Raw genomic sequence first — 18,416 nt, 5'->3', positions numbered from 1 at the left:
ACATTTTCTTCTAGACCGTGGCTTGCCTTTTTCACTTTTAAGATCAGCTGATGGTAGATACTTTCAGCAAACTAAAGCTAGAAAAGAATTTTTCAGGCTGGACGCAGTGGCTCACGCCTGTAATCCCAGCACTTTGGGAGGCTGAAGCAGGCAGATCACTTGAGGTCAGGAGTTCGAGACCAGCCTGGCCAACATGGTGAAACTCCATCTCTACTAAAAATACAAAAATTAGCTGGGTGTGGTGGCAGGCACCTGTAAGCCCAGCTACTTGGGAGGCTGAGGCAGGAGAATTCCTTGAACCCAGGAGGCAGAGGTTATAGTGAGCCAAGATCCTGGAAAAAGGAATTTTCCTAACTTGGTAAAATGTATCTACAAAAACATACAGCTAACACTATACTTAATGGAAAAACAATGAATGATTTTTCTCTGAGTTCAGAAAAAAGTCAAGGAAGCCGTTATCACCACTCCTATTCAACATTCCATTGGAGGCTCTTGCCAGTGCAAGAAGGTTGAAATCTCTCAGCCTCAGTTTACTTGTGTATAAAAGGGGGGCAATAACTATACCTACCTCAACCAATTCTTATACAAATTAAAGGAGCTAATAAGTGATTCATGCCATCCTTGGCAAATTGTATTATTTTTGTGCCCAGTTATTCTTCCCTATACTAGAATTATACAACCATGTCCTTTGCCATTTGATTGTATTGTTCCTTTAAATATCGGCAGAGTATATTTTTCCAACCTATTGATGTGCAGCTGGGCCATGTTTTGGCCAATGGAATGTGGTTGGAATTGACCATGTGCCAGTTTCAAACTGAGTCCTTAAGAAAACGCATATGTTTCTGCCGTAACTATAGGGACATGCCCTGGGTAGCCACTAGTCTCTGAAAAAGACACGTGTTCAACAGACCTGAACCCAACTTAGCCTGGTACCAAGCTCAGCTAATCGCATGAGAGTCACAGCCGATTCACAGACCAAATGGCAAGAGAAGAAATGCTTGCTCTTGTAAGCAACTGAGTTTTGAGATCATGTATTAACAGCATTATTGCAGAAATAGCTGACAAATACACTTGGCATATAATTAGTATTTAATAAATGGCAGCTATTTAACTTACACCCCAGTTTTATAACCTGAAAATTGGGAATAATACTACAACATATTGTTGTTAAGAGAATTAAGACATCTAATATACATGTAAAGCATTATATTTCTGAAGATGCACTCCAAGGAACATTAATTCAGAAGGAAATTAATAAGTATTACCCTCTCAAAAAAGTTTTCTATGGTCAATTACATTTGGGAAACATGATAGGTAAAGTGAAAGAGGGTCCTTTTTGGCAGACTTTCATAAAGGCTTATAAATGAATGAGCATTCTGAAACTCTAAGAGGAGGCAAAGTATGAGATGTTACCCAAACAGATTTGCCCAAGAAGACGTCATGGGGTTTAAGTGCCCCATAGAGCCCGTTTTGGGAAATACTGGTGTAACACTTAATAAATGCCCATCAATAAACTTTAGTCCATTAACTGAATTTTATACACCGTGCATACTGCATTTTATATATTGAAACTATTATATTCAATATATGATAGCTAATATTAATGTTCAGACTTGGCTTCTAAACTTTCTTACCCTAACCACAGTAAGAAAGATTTTACAAAATACAGTACACACATACAGCAATATATTCTGTCTTCCATATTTTCTATTTCATTCCATCTTTCTTTTTTTTTTTTTTTTGGAGATGGAGTCTTGCGATGTTGCCCAGGCTGGAGTGCAGTGTTGTGATCTCGGCTCACTGCAACCTCCACCTTCCAGATTCAAGCGATTCTTGTGCCTCAGGCTCCCAAGTAGCTGGGACTACAGGCATTCGCCACAATGCCCAGCTAAATTTTTACATTTTTAGTAGATATGGGGTTTTACCATGTTGGCCAGGCTGGTCTTCAACTCCTGACCTCAAGTGATCCACTCAGCTTGGCCTCCCAAAGTGCTGGGATTATAGACATGAGCCACTGCACCCGGCCCATTCAATCTTATTTTTTAAAAATATTGGTCTTATTCCACAAAATCTATCTCCTGACCTATGGATACATTGCAAGCCACAATCTGAAAAACACTATATAATATGTATATACAAATTAGAATATATACTTCTAATTTTCTTCCAGTTCCAGGATCATATAGCTTTTAGTGCTGGGTCCAAAATGCTTGATTTATATAATTATCAACTGTTGTTATTATTATTACATGCACAGATACCAGAGTAAGAAAACTTCTGTGCACTGACAGGGAGAAAGAATGCCTGGTGGTCCCATAGCAATACCCTCTCACAAGGCCGTGGATCAAATTGGCTCTACCCTCCACCTCTCCCTAGTTACCCCGATGAGCCATCTTTATAATAAGAAATATAACATGGTATTTAGCTATGCAGGCTCCTAAGTCAGGCTGCCTGGGTTCAAATCTTAAGCTCTTTGCTTCCCAGATATGTGTTTTTGGGGAAGCAACTTAACTCCTCTTAGTGTCACTTTCTACATCTGTAAAATGAACATAAAAGCAATTTCCATCCCCATGAGTATTAAAAGAGAAATGCAAGTCGAGTTTTTAGCAATTTCTATTGTTATTATCCTTACATAAAATGTCTTTCTAGGTGAGCGGCTTGTCCAGGCCTCAGGAATGTTGGTGTTCCCTTTCCTTAAAAACTCCAGCCTATAAGATGGTGCAGAAATAAACCCAGGAAAACTGGAGACCAAGCTGGCTTCACCCAGACTTACATGCCAGTTCCTAGAACAGTCCCTGGTGTAAGCAGGTGCCCAAGAAATAGTCACTGAATGAATGAAAGTGCTTACATCTCCCATCAAGTGTATCCACGAGGTACTAGCTTTTAAAAACCCAGCTTCAGAGCCAGAACTCACCAGTGTTGCCCATCGGACACAGGCCAGAGTTCACGGCAGGCCTCTCCGATGGCCAGGTGCCTGGGAGTGCGGAACCAGATATGGAATGGGAGACAAAGAAGCCAACCTCAGATAGGAATCCTTTCGAAAACCCAATCTGTGGCCCTGTTCATTCGTGATTCCCAGCTCTGGTTTGCAACATTTGCCTCAGGCACCGTTCACGAGAGGCTTTTAGGCTACTCCTCAATTTCTTTGCAAAGGGCTTTAATTGAAAACACGTTTCTATGCCGCATTTCTATATCACAAAAAGCAACCCAGACAGGGCTGTGGCTCCCCAGAGACTAGAAGTCATTTTCCTAAGGCCATTAAGTTGCAGGTAAAATGAATGAGTGTGGATGAGTCACAATGTCTGTCCCTGGGTCATGTAGATGTGTCTTCTGCATCTAGATCTTTGTGATTCTCTTACTTGGGTGTGAAGAGCTGGACTAACCAGCAGAATCCCAAAGAGAAATAATGAAAACAATAATCCCAGCACTTTGGGAGGCCGAGGTGGGCAGATCACCTGAGGTCAGGAGTTCAAGACCAGCCCGGCCAACGTGGTGAAACCCCGTCTCTACTAAAAATACAAAAATTGGCCGGGCGTGGTAGCACACGCCTGTAGTCCTAGCTACTCAGGAGGCTGAGGCAGGAGAATCATTTGAACTTGGAAGGAGAAGATTACAGTGAGCCAAGATTGTGCCACTGCACTCCATGCACTCTCCAGCCTGGGTGACAGAATGAGACTCCGTCTCAAAAAAAAAAAAAAAAAAAAAAAGAAATAATGAAAACAAATAGAAGACTGGCCTTTGGCTTTTATATTAATAATAAACACTATGACCTACTAGTCTAGCAACTTTGCATCTTAGCCCTCATACAAATCTGTCCAGATGAACACCAGTATCATCACTTGTTAGGTGAAGAAACAAAGACTCAGAGAGATGAAGGAATTACCCAAGGACACACGGCGAGAGAGTCAGATGTGGGATCCTCCAAGCTCAGATTCACTCCACTGCTCCAAGCTACTTACTTTCTCGAAATCCTGCATCCAGGTCCAAGGCTCTCTGACCCTATGTGAATCCACATCATCAGGAAAAAAAAAAAACAACGAACCTTTTAATATCTGAAATGAAATGCCATGTACTGTAAAAATTGCTTTCCACATGGGCCTATCCAAGACCACCACCAATAGTGGAACGAACAACTGCCCATTCTGAAGGGTTCTGTGCTGAGACTCAGCAGTTGGAGAATGATTCTGTAGTGGGCTGAATGGTGGCCCCCCCAAAATATATGTCCATATGCAAATCCTGTTAAAACATGTATTGCTTTATATAGCAAAATATGTGATTAAGTGAAAGATCTGAAGAGAAGGGATATTTATCCAGGAGTATCTAGGTAGGCCCAAAATACAAAAACATGTATCCTTGTAAGAGAGAGGCAGAAGGTGTCTGGGGACAGACAAGAGGAGAAAGCGATGTGAAGATGGAAGCAGAGATTGGAGTGATGTGGCTTCAATCCACGGAGTGCCAAGGATTACAGGCAGCCACTGGAAGCTGAAACAGACACGGAACAGATTAGCCTCCAGAGCCTTGGAGGAAGCTCGGCCCTGCCACCACTTTGATTTCAGACTTCTGGTTTGCAAGGCTGTGCAAGAGCAAATTTCTGTTGTTTTAAACCACCACATTTGTGGCGATTCATTACGGCAGCCACAGGAAACATACGCCCTACTAATATGCAAACATCTTTGGCTAAGCCCCGTAAGAGGCCGAAAGTGATGTGGCTGGGAAAGTGAGAGTTATCGTTTCCCAGACGTTGTTTCAGGGTCTCTTAGTAACAAAAAAACCCGCAGATCCACTCTTACAGATGAAATTAGAAGATGCTGAGTTTGAAAAGAAACTCTTGAGGTAAGAAGAAATCAGACAGAGAGAGGAAGTGCCGAAGGGCAAAGACTTGGCTGGGCATTTGGAAGACTAGAGCTTGGGCTGCTGAGAACACAGGCCTGGGGGAAAGGAAGTTCCATCTTGGGTGGAAGGATCCTCCAAGTACCAACCAGGTGTTGTAAGGCAGGCAAGCGTGTGACTTGGTGACCCCCATTTTGATTTTTATAGAGATCGGCACTCGGGCTGGCTGACAGCAGAGGGACTGACCCCCCTGCCCTTTTTCTGGCCTTTGTAACAAGGGCAGTGGGTTACATCCCAGCATGGCCGAAAGGATTAAGGTCACCACCACCCTGAAAGTTGTGAGAACACAAAATTTGGAAGGCTCATGGAAAGTTTCCATTTTGCTGCTTCCTACAATACGAGTGTTGAGTTGGCCAACCTCATTCCTTCTTTCCTTCAAAAAATGTATATCAAGCACCCCACTGTGTGCCCCGCACTAAACCAAGACCCTAGCATACAGCAGTGGCACGAAAGCCACAATCCTGTCATCCTGGAGGGCTCTCTAGAGAAATGGTTTTCAACTGAGGGTGATTTTGCCCCCCAGGGGACATCTGGCGATGTCTGGAGACGTTTCTGGCTGTCATGACTGGCGGTGGGGCAAGCGCTGACAGGTTATCTAGTGGGTGGAGGCCAGGGGTGTTGATAACATCCTACAGTGCAGAGGTCAGACCCCCACAACTAACAATTATCTGGCCCAAAATGTCACGAGTGCTGAGGTTGAGAAACACGGTGAGGCTGGAATGACCTAAGCAGACGACAGCCACTTTCAAAGGAGACTAGAAGACAGAGGCCTGAAAGACCACACAGGAGGGAGACAGGCAACCCTCAGGGGCTCCGGACCAATTCCCCCAACAAAGGGACGTCTTCGTCAAGACCTGAAGCATGAGGGGTTGTTTTCCAGGCAGGAAGAGCAAAAATGCTTTTAGGTAAGCTTAACTCTGTAGTACAGCCAGAGAGGAAAGGGAGTGAGCGAGTGTGTGAGGCAGAGGAGGTGGGGGAATCAAGGAAATCCTCTGAAAGGACTGTTCCCTCACTTCTGTTTTGGAGGGGAAGGGCTGTCTTTATTTAAGAGCAGGGGCCCGGAGTCAGATCTGAATTTAAATCCCAGCCCCACCACCTCCTGTGTGGCCTTAGACAAGGCACCTAAAACCCTCAGTTTCTAAATCCATTTTCAGAAAATGAAGCAGAGGGTGGCGGAGGAGAAGAATGTCTGCCTTAGGTGGTAGTGTTAGGATTAAATGAGAAAATGCACATAAACAGCTTGGCACACTGCCACGAATAACAGATACTGTTCTTATTTGTGTTTTCAAAGGTCACTCGGCCCAGTGTGCAAAATAAAATGAGGAAGGACAACCAGAAACACTCCTCCCTGGGAATACAAAGCAAAGCAAAAACAAAATGCCGAGATTTTACAGAAGAAAAACTTGCTTGAGCAAAGCAGTTTCCGAGGGGCTCTTAAGTCCTTGATGCGATACTGTGGTCACCTTAAGAAACCACAACGGCAACACGAACAGTTCCATGCCCATTGAAATCGTCATCCTTTGAAGGTATAAATGTCCTAGATAAATGGAACAATGTGTCCATCCATCCATCTAGTCAGCAAGAGAAATGAAATCCAGGGGAAACCTTAGGGAAGATCTGTATCATGGCCCCTGCTCAGTGATGGTGATGAACTTGGGCTCTTACCAGGGTACAGCCAGAACACTTGGATCCCACATACAGCAAGGCCCTTCCACACACACCTTTCAGTGCATCACCTTAATCCAATTTTCTAAAAAGCTGCTTACTCAATAATCGCTCACTGCTAGAGAAAGGGCAGTTTGATACCCTTGCATCTCTCCCAGGATGCAACTCTTGGAGGTTAGGATGCTTTCACACCCATGATCCTTAACTGCTAAGGATGTGGTTTCTTAAGTGCACTCTTGGTGGACTAAGTCTCATTCACCAGAATTAAATTCTTTCTGCTTGCTACTGTGAGAGGATGAGTAGGATATTTCAGAGAAACTGGTTTATAGCCCCCAAAAAAGTGACATTTGCTCTGTAACTGTGCTTTGCTTTCAGCAACAAACTACTGGGAATGGCACGGTGAAATACTACAGAAGACACACACCAGGGATCCCCTTTGATACTGATCATCTCCATTGCAAATGACACATTATGCAAACCAGATACACCAAATGGGCCACGAGGATGGAGGGGAGGGGATCAACCCCTCAAAAGAGTCCAAGACCACGTTCTGGTATCTAAGTCATCACCTACACACTAACTGTATGGTCAAGTTCCAACGTGGGAATATGTTTTTCTTGATTACGGTAGGTCCAGTTTCCCTAGAGATAAAAATCCAAATCACAGAAACAAGTGACCAGCCTTTATCTGCACATACTAAGTTGCTTTTATTAATCCAGAACGGCATGCTACAGATACTGTACAGCATGAACATTTATTCATTACAAAAATGGCTTCCAAACCATTAAAAATGAACTTGGAATAAGAGCATAAAACGGAACAGTAACATCACAACTGTTAGGAAACATTCAAAGTATTCACAAAAAATGTTATAGTTAGCATTTTAATAAACCAGAGAAAAATCGGAGACAGTTTTACAATCGCTTCATGTCAACTACAATGGCACTGAATGAACAGGTTTCAGCTTTATACAGCATTTTGCAACATCAACATGCCTAGGTTTTTTTTATTTTTAAAGTCTGCTGCCTACTCGTATGTAATATGTGTACATAAAAGCGGCAGCTGGTTTTTCGTTTAAGAGTAATCTAATATACAGAATTTTGGCCCTTAAGGGTTTATACCTCTTCATTTAAAATGCTTTCTGGACAATCTGCTACCAAACACATTTTGTTATAGGTGACATTAAAACTACATACAAATCTACCTATGTAACATCACAGCAAAACATGATGAACAAAAATTACAGCATCAAAAAGAGGGAGAAAGCTAAATTCACTGAGAATTTTGGCACGTAAAGTTTTGTACACGGTCAGTCCGGGTCCTAAGGGCGCAGGGTAGGGCATCCCACTGGGAGTTCAAAGGGGAAACGAAGATGGTTCCCACTGCTGCTCAGACAGTGTCGCTAAAATTCCCTCACTCATTTTCAAGTCTTGTTTTACATAATGGCTTTTAAAGCAACTTTTGTTAATGCTACTGATCCTTAATGCAACTATTAATGTCCATTTGGTGACATCTGGGTTTCATACAGAAAAAAAAAAGTCAAAAAGGGGAAACAAAAATATATATACACATTTTATATATAAACTTAAAAACCTTGTACAAATGAGTTGTTATATATAAGATGCTTATGCTAAGGGGGAAAAAAACTTTATACAGTTTCAAGAAAAAGGAAAACATATTTAAAAAGGGACGACATACAGGTACGACAAGCAATCTCTAAAGCAATAAATACTACTGGCCCAACAGCGTTGTGATTCTATTAAGTGTTGAGTAGCGTCCCCTCCCCCCAAAAGAACAACACCATGGAACAAGGTATATTAACACATTTTTACCCTTTGTTTCTGTACATTTAAACAATAACAAGTAACATCACAATAAGAGTTGTTTCACACAGAAAAAAAAAAAAAAAGTAACGGCACTGCATTCATGGTGCCCTTACGGTTTAAAAACCAGATGTAAAATGATTGGTTCGCAAGCTCGTATTTAATACAAATAATACAGAACCAACTCCTTCTGGAGGGCTGCTTCAAAATTGCTTTTTTTTTCTTTTTGTTTTTTAATCAGTCTTTTAAAACTAAGCTATCCGAACTACATAACAGTTATGTATATATATATATTTTTTAAACGCTACAAAGACTTTAAACAGCTGTTGATAAAAATTTTGGTAGAATCATGAGGTTCTTCTCTCATCTACATATTTAAAAGGAGAAATTGAAATAAGAATGGGTCAAATATTGACCAATGAACTCGATAAACATCAACTAATGTAGCCACATGGCACAAAATTAAGAGAGTACAAAACAAAACCTTTCAAGGTGGGGGTGGGGGGCAAATTAAGAAAAGTGAAACAAAACCATAAACAAAGCAGCGGGGTTCACGACGCTAAAGCTATTCTAAAGACTTGGTGACGAGCGACAGCGGCTGGGGCTGGGTCCCGGCCAGGGAGCTGTGGGAATGTAAGGAAGAAGTCGACGGCTGTGCAATTGATGAGGAGGGGGCGGCAGGCTGCAAAGCGGCTGGGGGCAGGTCCAGGGCCCCGTTGGGACAGAGGGCGGAGGCCTTGTGGGTGGCCTCAGCGAGCAGGAGGGCGGGTGGCGGAGGCATCATGGACAGGTGGGCCAGGGGGTCGGGCTTCAGGGACAGCGACAGAGGCTGGGTCTGCTCAGTCTGTGACTTGGCGTCTCGGGGAGGGGAGCCTAGCAGGTTCGGGGAGGGGGGAGGCGAATCTAGTAAGCTTCCATCTGAAGAGGGTGGGCTGAGGCAGCTGCCTTCACCTTGTATGTAGCGAACGCACTTTTTTTTTCTCCTAGAAACAGGGGAGAGAGTTATCTGTGAATAGAGGGCACAGATGCCAAGGGAGAGAGTTACCTAATGCTCACACCCAAGCTGAGGTCACCTAAGGGATGTCCCACAGAGGTGGCACGCCCAGTGGTCCGAGGACAATTACAGTGGCGCCCCCCCAGGGTGGGTCGCTTACTTCACAGTGCCCAGATCTAAGCCTGCTCTGGCAAACAACTTATTTAAGAGTCTGAACTCTCTACTTGCTTCCCCCAACCCCTACTAAACACCCATGCCCCACCATGCCCAAATTATATACGAGAGCAGCATGGAGGCGGCCACCTGCAGATGGTGGCATCTATTTGCCAAAAAGTGGCTTTGTCCAAATTGAGAAGAACTGAAAAGCTCTTTTGGCTTAGACAGTCCCTCACTTTCCCATCAAGTTTCCTCGGCCCTTCACTCCCATTCCCACCACTACCACCCCCATCCCCCAGTGATGTGTGTGTGTGAGTGTGTGAGTGTGAGTGTGTGTGTGTTTAAAAGAGAAAGACAGAGCTCCTTCCCCAGCCGCCTCGTATCAATATGAAACTCTCAAAATGCTCACTGTTGAGCCCACATAGCTGAAGGCAGCGCTAGCAAGAGGCTTAAAGGTTTTAACACACCACCACCATGAGGCTGCTGGCGCCCAGAGAGCTTTCGGGCTTGTCTGTTAAGAACCACACCAAATCAAGAGAGGTCAGAATCAGGTGAGAAGGGAGGAAGGGAAACAAAAATAAAACAAAATAAACTTAAAACAAAAACAAAAAACAAAAAACGAAACAAAAAAAAGAAACCACCAAAAACAGGTAGAAGAGGATAAACAAAGGTGGGGGAGGGGGAAGAATAAGAAAAACAGAAAATGATTCAAAGGAACGAGAATAACTGGTTGTATGGCCTGCAGGTTGTGGATTAAATTAAGATTCAAACTTGATTTTTTTTTTTTTTTTAAGATTTGGGGCTTTCCCCTCCCCCACCCCGTAGTGAGAAGGTTGGAAGGAGAGATGGTGAGGATGGGATGGATGGAGGGGCATCCTGCTCTTGTCAATATGCCAAGGCTAGTCAATGGAGGGTGCAGCACAAGCCGGTCACCGAAGTGACTACAAAGAAGAAGTGCCAGGGAATCGCAGCATGGACCTTCCTGGGTTTGGGTTATCGTGATTCGTGTTTAAACCAGAAAGACTAATTTTGCCCTGCACCAAAACCAGCATCTCCCCTCTTCACTACTCATTCATGTAAGAAATAGGAATGAGAATTTCAGAGCCCTTCTTGCTTAGCATCAAAGGATGAGGTCGGGGAAAATCAACTCAAGAAATTGAGCATGTGACTTCAAAGCTTCTCCTCCCATTAATCCCAGTCTGATGGGATGGTATTTGGTAAGGAAAGGTGAGCCTGGGGATCAACCCCACTAATGCTATAAAAATAATGCAGATACAGGAAGTGTGCTCATCTAAGGACCCTAGAATATTGTCAGAACCATGGCTGATAACACTCCAACTGGAAACACGTGTGTAAGCACTGGCCAGCTTTCTGCCGCTGGAAGCAACCAAGATGCTGCCTGCTTGAAGGCAACCACTGTCAGACAATGTCACTGGCCTTGGAAAGGAAGGGTGTGCTGAGTTCCTCCTCTCAGTCTGTGCCCCAGAGCTGTCTGATCATGCCCCTCTGTGCTTGGGGTTTGGACTCAGCAAGATGGCAGGAAGGCAGGGAAGGAGGGGAGGGGTGTAAGGGAGCATGCTCAGTCCTCCCTGCCTCCCAGAGGCTGAGATTCATGGGGGCTAGTGGCCTCAGGGTCTGTCTGTTCCTTCTGGGTCAGAAGGAACTCTAGGGGAGCAAGCACCACCCCCTCTCACCCTCAATTTGGCAAGGTTCCTTTTTCTCCCTGGGAGAGAGTAAATAGACTATGGGTTCTGCTTCCATCCCAGAAACCAAGATAAATAATTAAGCCTCTCAGAGTTTTAAACCACCTTAGCCTGCAGATCAAAACATGCTCAAAAAACTAAGATGTCCATGCATTTTAAAAATGGGAGAAGGAAAGGAGGTGGGGAGGGGGAGGGCATAAGCAAAACTGAGAAAGCAACAGAGAAAAACAGAGAGAGGAAAGGAAAGGGAGAAAGAAAGAAGCAGGGAGAACAACCAGGAAGACAAGGGAACAGCACCAAGCAGCATTCCATGCTATATTAGGGCAGAGTGAAAAGATGGGAAAAGCAACTTGGTGGGCTCAAAACAGAATCTTGTTAAAATGTCCACAAATGTCAAATGAAACTAGAAACCTTGTGTGGCAAGCTAGAAGCCCTGATTGGCTAGGAGCATTCTGGTACCTTCCTCACCCCTCCCACCCTCATGACGTGGAAGTTTCCAGATCATAGGAATGAGAGGGGTATCTGGAACACGGGACATGAAGACTATGGCGACAGAGCAATGGGTCTCCTAAGGTGGCTGAGCACAGGGCAGCTGGCACGCACACACATTTCTGACGAGTCAGAAAATGCCTCGGTTGGCAACTGCTTTTCTTTTTTTCCTTTTTTTTTTTTTTTAAGTACATTTTGTCCTATGAGTTTTAGCATTAAGCCAGGGGTGGCCATAGCCACGTTAAAAGGAAAAGTTGAGTAAAAGGGGGAAGGTAACCCATACTCTTAGCACCCCCAACCTAGGCTTCATCTCGATTCAGAGGAGTGGCCTCTTAGAAACCCCTTTCTAGCTTCTTGTTTATTCTGAAAGGAAACTAAGGGTTCTTCCTGATCCTGTTTTGGAATAGCATCCTTCAAAGACAGCAGAAATGCATTTGCTAATCATTCCATGGTATGGAAAAGTCACCAACAAAGAAAAATATCTGCTGGGAAAGTCTGAACACTGCTGAGACTGGAAAGAAAACCAGGTGGAGACAGGGACCTGGGGAACTCTGGCACCTAGGACCAGGGGCTCAGCGTCTGCAGCAGAAATGCTGCCCTATTGACAGCCCCTCCAAGATGCATTTTAGAAAACCATGCTGCTCAAACAGGAAGCAGCTACAAAGGTTTTCGGTTGGCAGATTTTTTTTTTATATATCAATAAAATTCTGGTCTCTGAAGATACACCCAGGCTGTAAGCAAGGTGTAAGCTAAAGCTATGCCCAAATGGGGGATGCATGTTTGGGTCAATGTTAGGAATAACTTCAAGAAAAAAAAAAGTCTGACTTGCAGCAACTGCTTCCAAAACAAAAAAAGGATTCATAAACCACCACCCACCCCATTAATAAAATAAACAAACTAGGTACCTGAACCGGCCTTATTGTGAGGAGCACACAATAGTGTCAGTTGTACATTTCTACAGATCATGAGAAACCCTCTCTTTTAGTGACCCTTGTGGTTAACCAGTCATTGGCCATGGCAGGGCATCTCAGAACAGGCTTCCACAGCTAGTTATCTTCCCACCTGGTACAAGTAAAATTTTGACAAATTCACTGCTTAACAGAGTCCCTGCCCTCCCTGGCTAGTCCTAATTAAATACCTAACCTCCTCCATCAACTTTGTCACAAAACTCCTTTCTGTTGTGCAGAGAAGACCCCAGGACTGTGTCAAAGGGACATCTGTCAGCGCTGTGAACACTACCATCTCACAGAATGCCTGGGGAGTTCCTCTCCTGCCGGGTGTTCAACTCGCCCCCAAATCCCTCATTCCACAGGCAGAGGGCTGTCTGTGTGGCTCCCTCTCAGGGAATACTCTCAGGCCCTCTCTCCTCTAATGTGTGCTGGGGTCAACACGAGGCACTTCACCGATCTCTCGTATTGGCATCAGAGAAGGGGGGAAGAGACACAGGAGACTCGTGGGCATGCACGTAATGGGATGCACATCTGATCTAACGTCTAAACACGGAGCACATGGCAAAGTCATGAAGGGGAGGGACACGTGACGAGGGAGGCACTACAAACAGGGAAGCGTGTTTAGGGTGTTGAAATACCTACCATTGTAATATTCCAAATTCAAAGACTGCTTGTATCAGAACAAAGAAACAACACATTTAACCAAAGGTGGTCATTAAAGAAAGGAAATGAGACAGGAGCTAGTCGGTATCCCTCCACCAAGAAGGAAGTACCTACACTTTCCCTGAGAATGCAGGCTGGATGGAGACCTGCAGGTGGAACATGGGTGCTTAATTTGGACACTTCTGGGCTGTTCTGATTCCTTTTGGAACCAATGCTACATATATACACACATATATTTTGTTAATTCTGCAGGCCTAGGGACGCTGCAGTCTGAGACTGCATGACTCACTGCTTGCAGCCCTTTAGCTGGTGCATGCCGTTCAATGCCACGCTTCTTTTTCAGCACTGTAAAACAATGTCAGCTAACCAAGCTCCTCCGTACAGACATGTGGTTTTTAAACATAAAACAACCAAAAAGGAAAAAGAAAAAAGGGAAAGAAGAAGCCTACCCCAGAACCCTTCTCCATGTGTCTCGACTCTAAGTGCACGGGAATGCAATTGCTGCCAAGTGTTAACTCATTCAAACCTTTGGAAATGGTGGCTCTCTGTGCTCAGTACCCGGGCCACCAAGGCATTCATAGGGCCGGACCAGCTCCAGGATGCTGGCTTTCAAAGCAAAAAGATAAGTGCCCCTCCTTGTTTGTTAAGGCTGTGGTCTCAGTCCTGCCACCAGGGATATTGTTCATGAGAGCAGGGGGAAAAGAGAGAAAGAGAAAGTGGGGAGAGGAAATGGCATAAAATTAGCAAGGAAATTTTGAAGAATGAGGATCATTAGTCATTGATGCCAGAGGGGAAGTAGATGGGGAACGAGGTCAAAATAAATTATCACGCTAAGGTACCGGAAGGACAGAATGCTTTGATTTTCCCAAAGGCCTCGCAGTGGTAATATACCTGCACGGTTTGCACCATAAAGTCTGTCGGTCAAGCCCGAACAGTGCCCGACACTTCTTTGGAGTATTTGCATCTGTTAGCATAAGGTAAACACAAAAAATACAACACAATGGTGGGTCGTGCTCAGTTGGATGTGAAATCTCAGCTACAGCTTCCTTTTCTTCTCTATCACCTTGGTTCTATTTGATAATCTTCCCTCACCAAGGACATGAAAGGAAAGGACTTCTATGAGCCAAAAGAAAAAAAATAATAAAATAAAACAATAAAACACACACACACAAAACAACAACCAGAAACCAAAAAACAACAATGAAAAAATAAATAAATAAAAAGAGAGAGAGAAGAGGAGGGGAGAAGGTGATGTCATTTGCTTCTACCTAGGCCAGGATTCCGATCCTGGGCTGTCACAAGGAAGGGATGGGGGTTGGCAGGTAACATTCCCTGGGAGGGGGCGCGCTAAGGTTTGCTGTCGCTGACCCGAGGAGGCACGAGTGATGCTGTTTTACAGTGGCATTTTGGCTGGCAGCAGCAGGAGAACAAGCACATCCCTCATAGAACCCATACACTTGGCAGTGTCCCACTCCCCTGTGTCTCCTGAGATCCACACACAGAGCTACAAAGCAACAGGCCAGAGAAGGGGGAGAGGATCGAATAGACCAGCTGCAAACCAGCACAGCGAATCTGGAAAACTATACACACCTGCAAGGGCCGCACCAGTTATTCTGTTGATCAAGGCCAAAGCGCGCTCGGCATTTCTTAGGAGCGCTCAGGTCTGAATGAGTTCAAGAGAGAAGCGAGCAGAGGAGGAGAACGTGGGAGAAAGGGAGAGAGAGAGAGAGAGAAAGAGGGGGGGGGGGGGGGAAGAGAAAGATACAAATAAGAAAAAAATAAAAATAAAAAAGGGAATAAATCAATGACCTGGTTACTAATTGCAAAATATTGACTTTCGTTTTTTAACTTTCTTTAATTAAAAAAAAAAAAGTAAAAGTCACATTCTTATTCAACTTTTGAAATTAGCTGTTGCAAATAAAGCTGCAGTATCCCTTCTTTAAGGACTGTCTCTCAGATTTGGTTCGAGCTGACAAAGGGAAGTTAGACATGGAATAACTCTTAAATATTTTTCCTCTTTTAGTTCTGCTTTCCCTTTTTTCTCTCAATTTTTTTTCTTAAAGAAGAAAATAAAGCGAAGGAGGGAATTAAGTTTGTAACATGCTTTTTTCTTCTCAGAATACAATAGTTTAAAAAAAGAAAAAAATTACAAATAAAAACAGAACAAAACGAAACAAAATAGAAAGAAATAAAGAAAGAAAAGGGTTGTGGTACTGGGATATTGCAGCTTTTGGAACGTTCGTCTTTTTTTTAAATCTATTTTCATTAATTATTAAGAGAGGAAAAGATAAAGGTAAACAGGCTGTGTGAATGAGCTGTTAGGAGTTAGTTAGAAGCTCATAGCAGCATTTAAGCAGGCACAGTCAGTAAAATGCTAGTGGACTTGCAAATTATGAGCAGAAAAGCAAAAGAAAGAAAAAACTAAAATAAAAAAAAGCAAAGGAAAAAATAATCATACTGCGGATGCATGCTTGCGTGAGAAAACTTAGTGGGAGCAATGAAAAAAATGCCATTAGATTAAGGAGGTTTATTACTGAATTCCTTCCATTTTTTTTTTTAACCAGTCTCTTTTAAAGAAATACTGCATATTCAATTTGCACAGTTAGTTCAACTCTAAATCACTGTCATCACTGCTTAAACAACTGTTATGGGAAAAATAAATAAACAAAACAAAGGTTAAATTAAAAAAAAAAAACAGAAGCAACTGAAAAAAAAAATCTACTGAAACATACGAAACCGTGTTGATGGTCATTTTAAAGAATGTTCAAATGTCATACGTGTTTAAATGTTAATAAAACTATAATGGCAAGAAAAATTAAAAAACAGTTTATCAACTATTTTAATGACTCAAAATGACATTAGCACCTGTAATCGGAGGAAGTGAAAGGCAAGGATTTAGGAAACATTCGCTGTGTTCTGAAAAAAAAGAACAAATTATACAAAGCCTTCAAAATTTTTGTTTTGTTTGTTTGTAAAAGCCTGGCCTTCTCCAAGGGACCTCTGAGATTGCCTATGCAGTATTTCTAATTTCTTCTAGAGAATGACAAACCTCCTTAATTTAAAATGGGTGTAATTTACCACTGTAAAGGCATGCATCAGAACATTCAGGAACAGCCCAGTTAATATCAAACACTCACACACACCCCCTCCTACTCCCCTAAGCCCCGCCCCCTCCTCATCCCTTCTCAGGCACACACAAAATAAGCAGACTGTATAAATCCCGGCATAGGCATGCCTACCGCTTGCTCTCCAGTTATAGGCTCTGCAGTTATTTTAAAACACATTCCACTAGAATTACAATGTGCTTTTCATGCAACAATGGATGTTACTAGCTTTAAAAGGGCAGTCATGAAGCAATTAATTAAAATGCATAAACAAAAAGGCTAGCTAAGAAGGGTTCCCCCACAATGTCCTGGCCTTGAATTTCTCCTGCCTCCCCCAGATGGAAACCTAACATAAAAGGGTGGTCCTCAGGCTACAGCTCCTTCCTCTAACCTGATGATTGTCACTTACCATTGGTCTCTCCCGGCTGCTTGTCCCTTTTCCTCTTCTTCTTCTTTCCCTAGATGAAGAGATGAAACACAGGGAATTACTGCAAGAAACAGATGTGAGAAGAGTGTCTGGGCGCACCTGGAAGGAGAAGGCAGGAGGAAGTGACCATACTGCCATCTCCATCCACACAAACCCCCGGTATTTGTCCAACCTCCAACCCCGCTTCAAGCCAAATGCCCTTGCATTGTACCCCAGCTGGAGGGACACACGCTTCTTGGGAGCAGAGAAGGGATTGGCGGGTGGTGAAGGGAAGCTCTCATTTCTCATGTACCTATGTCCATTGTCAAACCTGACCCACAGCATTTGATCCATAAAAGGGAATGGGGGACGGCACGAGGAAGATTCAGAGAGGAGTGGGATGATGGCGTTGCAAGCAGTCTGAGAGCCCATCTTTGAGGAGCACATGAAGGTGGTCATGGCCGCACCAGCTTCAAGGGCTGCCCTGCCTGACCTGCTCACAGTTCTTACTTATGAAGGCCAAAGGGTCCCACTCTGAATCAAGAGAATGAAAGCTTTAGCAGAGGCTTCTCTTAGAGTTTGCTGTTAAAGATGCAGGGGAAAAGGGTGAAATAGAACGAGGAATCATCTGGGCTCCTTTCACAACTGCTGAGTGGGCTGGGAGCAGTGGCTGACGCCTATAATCCTGGCACTCTGAGGGGCGGAGGTGGGAGGATCACCTGAAGTCAGGAGTTCAAGACCAGCCTGGCCAACGTGGCGAAACCCCGTCTCTACTAAAAATGCAAAATTAGCCGGGCATGGTGGTGCATGCCTGTAGCCCCAGCTACTCGGGAGGCCGAGGCAGGAGAATCGCCTGAACCCAGAAGGCGGAGGTTGCAGTGAGCCGAGATCATGCTACTGCATGCCAGCCTGGGCAACAAGAGCAAAACTCTGTTTAAAAACAAAAAAACAAAAAACAAACAAAAAAAACCTGCTGAGTGGACATCTGTAAGAAAGAAGATGTTCCCTCAATTCTCTTCTAGCTGACATAATGAGGATGATACCACTCCTCCCATGAATGGGTCACATGTGTTGAGCATATGCCAGGTGCCAGGCATGATTCTAGGTGTGCTACGCAGATGGACTCATTTTAATCATCACAACAATCCTCTTCAACAGGTATTACCACCATTCCAGTTTCACAGAGGAGAAAACTGACGAGTTAGGTAACTTTGCCAGGGTCACACATCTAGCAAGTGGTGGGGCCAGGAGAGAACTCAGGTGGTCTTGGCTCCAAAGCCCTCAACCACAAGGCTCTGCTGCCTACAAGTTTAATGCCCAGCCCTCCAAGGAAGCTCTTTTAGTGAGGGCTTTAGGGGATGAACTGCATGGAGTCTTTCATATTCTCCAACCTGATCCATCTGCTCGAGGTTGCAAATGTGGAATGGGACTGGGGGGAATTCAGGAGAGGCGACTGCCTCATTCCGGATTGGACTAGTTCTCCCTCCCCTCATAGCCCTACCAGATGAAGTAGCTGCCTGGCATACATTGAAATGAAATGGTCTTACACTGCTATATGTTTCAGAACAGCTAA

The 18,416-nt window shown here is 43.9% G+C and overlaps 1 protein-coding gene across 17 annotated transcripts in view; it reads right to left on the bottom strand.

Moving 5' to 3' along the window:
- Positions 7,238–18,416, bottom strand: part of TCF7L2 (transcription factor 7 like 2) — a 217,432-nt gene continuing 206,253 nt past the window's right edge. For 4 of the 17 annotated variants that reach the window (NM_001198528.2, NM_001198527.2, NM_001349871.1 and 1 more), the window contains 5 exons: positions 16,847–16,895; positions 16,199–16,249; positions 14,924–14,996; positions 13,313–13,337; positions 7,238–9,361 (listed from right to left, as the gene is read on the bottom strand). In NM_001198528.2, the coding sequence (NP_001185457.1) occupies positions 13,331–13,337; positions 14,924–14,996; positions 16,199–16,249; positions 16,847–16,895 (180 nt within the window). In that variant the 3' untranslated portion in view covers positions 7,238–9,361; positions 13,313–13,330. Of the gene's footprint in view, positions 9,362–13,312; positions 13,338–14,224; positions 14,298–14,923; positions 14,997–16,198; positions 16,250–16,846; positions 16,896–18,416 lie in introns of all 17 variants that reach the window. The other 13 variants (NM_001198531.2, NM_001146283.2, NM_001146286.2 and 10 more) reach the window with 6 other exon arrangements.

Source organism: Homo sapiens, chromosome 10 (genome assembly GCF_000001405.40).
Source record: "Homo sapiens chromosome 10, GRCh38.p14 Primary Assembly".
NCBI lineage: Eukaryota > Metazoa > Chordata > Mammalia > Primates > Hominidae > Homo > Homo sapiens.
The sequence above is the reverse complement of the archived record's forward strand: the minus strand, read 5'-3'. Positions and strand labels throughout refer to the sequence as shown.